Source organism: Homo sapiens, chromosome 1, assembly GCF_000001405.40.
Source record: "Homo sapiens chromosome 1, GRCh38.p14 Primary Assembly".
Lineage (NCBI taxonomy): Eukaryota > Metazoa > Chordata > Mammalia > Primates > Hominidae > Homo > Homo sapiens.
Window position 1 is genome coordinate 103,551,274 of NC_000001.11, and position 3,370 is coordinate 103,554,643.

Here is a 3,370-nt window from a genome sequence, read left to right on the forward strand (position 1 = left end):
GTTGTTCAATTTCAGCCAAGTTTAAATGTTTCACTTATGCAGCTCAAAAGTACATAGGCATGCTAAGAGACTAGAGTATCCAGAAGTACATTTGGAGTCATAAAAGAACTAATTCATTTTATCATTTTATTGTAATTTATATTTCTACATGAGAATTTTAATAACTAGAGTATATCATTGATTAACCATCTTGCTTTTAGTAGTCAATGCAGTTTGCAAACTAGAAATCAGCAAGATAGGTAAAGAAGCAAAGGCCCAGGTATAAAAAATAATGACTGTAAAGGAAAAGTTAATTATTAATTTCCTCTCAAGTCATGAAGAGAGGCAGGAGGCACTCAAGGTAAATTAAAAAACCATACTCCCACCATACACTAGAAAGTTTTTGAGAATTATTTAGAAAAGATTACTTGCATATTCATGAAGGAAACCTTAATTTTAAATTATTAGCAGTTTGCTCGATCTGCTAGACCAAAACAAGATCCTAAGGAAGGAAAAAGAAAGTGTTAAAAATTAATAAAGGTAAGTGTGAATAAAACATAATAAAAAGACAAGACTAATTCTTGAGATAAAATTAAGAATAAAAGTTTGACAAGGTAGTAATTCAGGTATCTCTTTTTTTTTTTTTTTGAGGAAATACCTATCTGTGCAGTTAAGTCCCATTAAACGTCAAAACTATAACTACAGATTAAAACCCATTTATATGTGAAAATTAAGTTTGGAGAATGAATCTTATAAGGGGAGTGTGCCTGTTACTCTTTTTTTAACTTTTTCTGCCTATAGTAAAGCAATGGTTCTTAAACCCTAATATGTATCATATCACTTGGAGAGCCTAATAAAACACAGATTCGTAGGTTCCTTCCTTCCCTGAAAGAGTTGATTTGGTAGGTCTGATGTGGGGACCTAGGGAAACTGTTTATACCAGTTTTCCTTTTAATGAGGGGATTTCCAGGATGCTGGACATTTAGTGCTGAAATGGGGAATGTGTCTGGTAAGCCAAGACAGGTCGGTCACCCTTGTTGGCACCTGAAAATTTGCGAGATTAATGAGGTTTCAGGTAATGATGAGGCATCTTATCCAGAGACCACAGCTTGAAAACTCCTGGAATAAACACTTACAGATACATTTTCTAACTCTTAAAATTAACCTAAAGTAAATGTTAAAATAAAAGTTAAAAAAAAAAGTCAAACTGTCATTAAAAATAATTCTGGCTGAGCACGGTGGCTCACCCCTGTAATCTCAGCAATTTGGGAAGTGGAGGTGGGCGGATCACAAGGTCCAGAGATCAAGACCATCCTGGCCAACATGGTGAAACCGACTCTCTACTAAAAATACAAAAATTAGCTGGGTGTGGTGGCGCCTACCTGTAGTCCCAGCTACGTGGGCGGCTGAGGCAGGAGAATCGCCTGAACCTGCGAGGTGGAGGTTGCAGTGAGCCGAGATCAAGATCACGCCACTGCACTCCACACTGGCAACAGAGCAAGACTCCATCTCAAAAAAAAAAAAAATCTACAGTGCTGAGTATATAAAATTATTAACACATTTCACAACAATATGTGTTTGTGGAGTTAAATATTTTTTGTCTTTAAAACAGGTAATTTTAGTGCATACTTAATTTGATGATTAAATATGGTAGAATTAAGCATTTTAAATGTTAATGTTTGTTACATTGTTCAAGAAATAAGTAGAAATATATTCCTTTGTTTTTTATTTAAATTTTTGTTCCTCTGTAAACTAAAAGAACACGAAGTAATTGGTCACAATTACTGGTGTTTAACTGCCAAATATGGGTAAATAAGGGAAAATTTTGTTTAATATTTAGTCCTTCTGAGATGGCTTGAATATTTGAATTTTGTTGTACGTCTATACTGGGTAGTCACAAGTCTTATAAACACTTTAGAGGAAAGATGGATTTCAGTCTGTATTTTTAAACATCATTTATTTTAAATCTGGTGCTGAAAAATAAGAAAAAAATTAAACTGCATTCTGCTGTTCTTCTTTAGAAGCATTCCTGCGTAAATACTGCTGTAATACTGTCATGCAAAGTGTATCCTTTCTTGTCGTATCCTTTTTGGGGCAGTGTTTTTTTGTTTTTTTCCTAGAAATGTTTGTCCTTCCCCCACCTGTTGATCCAGGTTAAGGAATACTTTTTTACACTTTATTCAAATGAAATATTTCTAAAATTATTTGTATAGACTGAACAGATCTTTTATGTGTTTTTAGATTTGTTGTTGAATTTTCTGTGCTGTCCTTTATATAATTTTTTGAGGGAAAGTTAGTGAATCAGGTCAACTTACTTAGAGAATGTGTTCATTTACTTTAACCCAGAATACAGTCTTGTTTCTTCTATTTGTATGTTTCCTAAACCTAATTCAATAACATATGCTTTCTGTTGTGTAATATATCTGGTTTAGGTATTTATAATGTGTTTAAAATTTGGGCAAAGGAAATGTTTTTCTTTTAAAAAGTACTTACATTGAAAATTAAGATGTCTGGATTACTATGTAAATTCTAGAGAGTAGCAGACCTCTCATCTGAAGTCTTAGTGAATCTCTTTTGACATAGATAGCAATAGAAGTATCTTTCTTCTTTCCCCTTTCTTTTTCTAAACAAGAGAAGAAAAGCGTAATAGAGGGGAGAACACATAATGCCCACTAAGGGTAGTGCATTAAGGAAAAACAGTCTTGGCAGGTATATAGGAATAGTGGTTTCCAGACTGGTTGATGACCGTAATCACCAAGAACAGTGGTTCTCAGTCTTGGCTGCACATTGCAGTGATCTGGAACTTAAATACTAATTTTAAAAGGGTGCAGTGGCTCATACCTGTAATCCCAGCACTTTGCAAGTCCGAGATGGGAGAATCACTTGAGCCCAGGAGTTTGAGACCAGCCTGGGCAATGTAGGGAGACCCTGTCCCTACAAAAAATACAAAAATTAGCCAAGTGTGGTGGCTTGCACCTCTGGTCTCAGCTACTTGGGATGCTAAGGCAGGAGGATTACTTGAGCCCCAGAGGTTGAGGTTGCAGTGAACCATGATCACACCACTGCATTCTAGCCTGGGTGACAGAGTGAGACCCTCTCCCTCCTAAAAAAATCCTTAAGAAATATATTGATGCTTGGTTCCTTTGGTCAGAATTTTGATTTAAGGTGTTGGGAGTGTAGCACAGATGTTGGAATAAACCTCTCAAACTGATTTTAATATACAAACAAGGTCGAGAACCACCAAGGAAGAGTTTTTATGCATAAAGATTCCTGTACTCTACCCTAGAACTAATACATCTGAATCTCTGGGAATGGAGTATAACAATCAGATTTGAAAAGGTTTCTTTAGTAATTTTAAGGACTGACCAGTTTAGACACTGCTTTGTTAGAG

At 35.3% G+C, this 3,370-nt stretch overlaps 1 protein-coding gene across 1 annotated transcript in view; it reads left to right on the top strand.

Moving 5' to 3' along the window:
* Positions 1-3,370, top strand: part of RNPC3 (RNA binding region (RNP1, RRM) containing 3) — a 29,541-nt gene that overhangs the window by 25,575 nt on the left and 596 nt on the right. The window contains exon 14 of the mRNA NM_017619.4: positions 448-519. Within this exon, the coding sequence (NP_060089.1) occupies positions 448-507 (60 nt within the window). The 3' untranslated portion in view covers positions 508-519. The remainder of the gene's footprint in view (positions 1-447; positions 520-3,370) is intronic.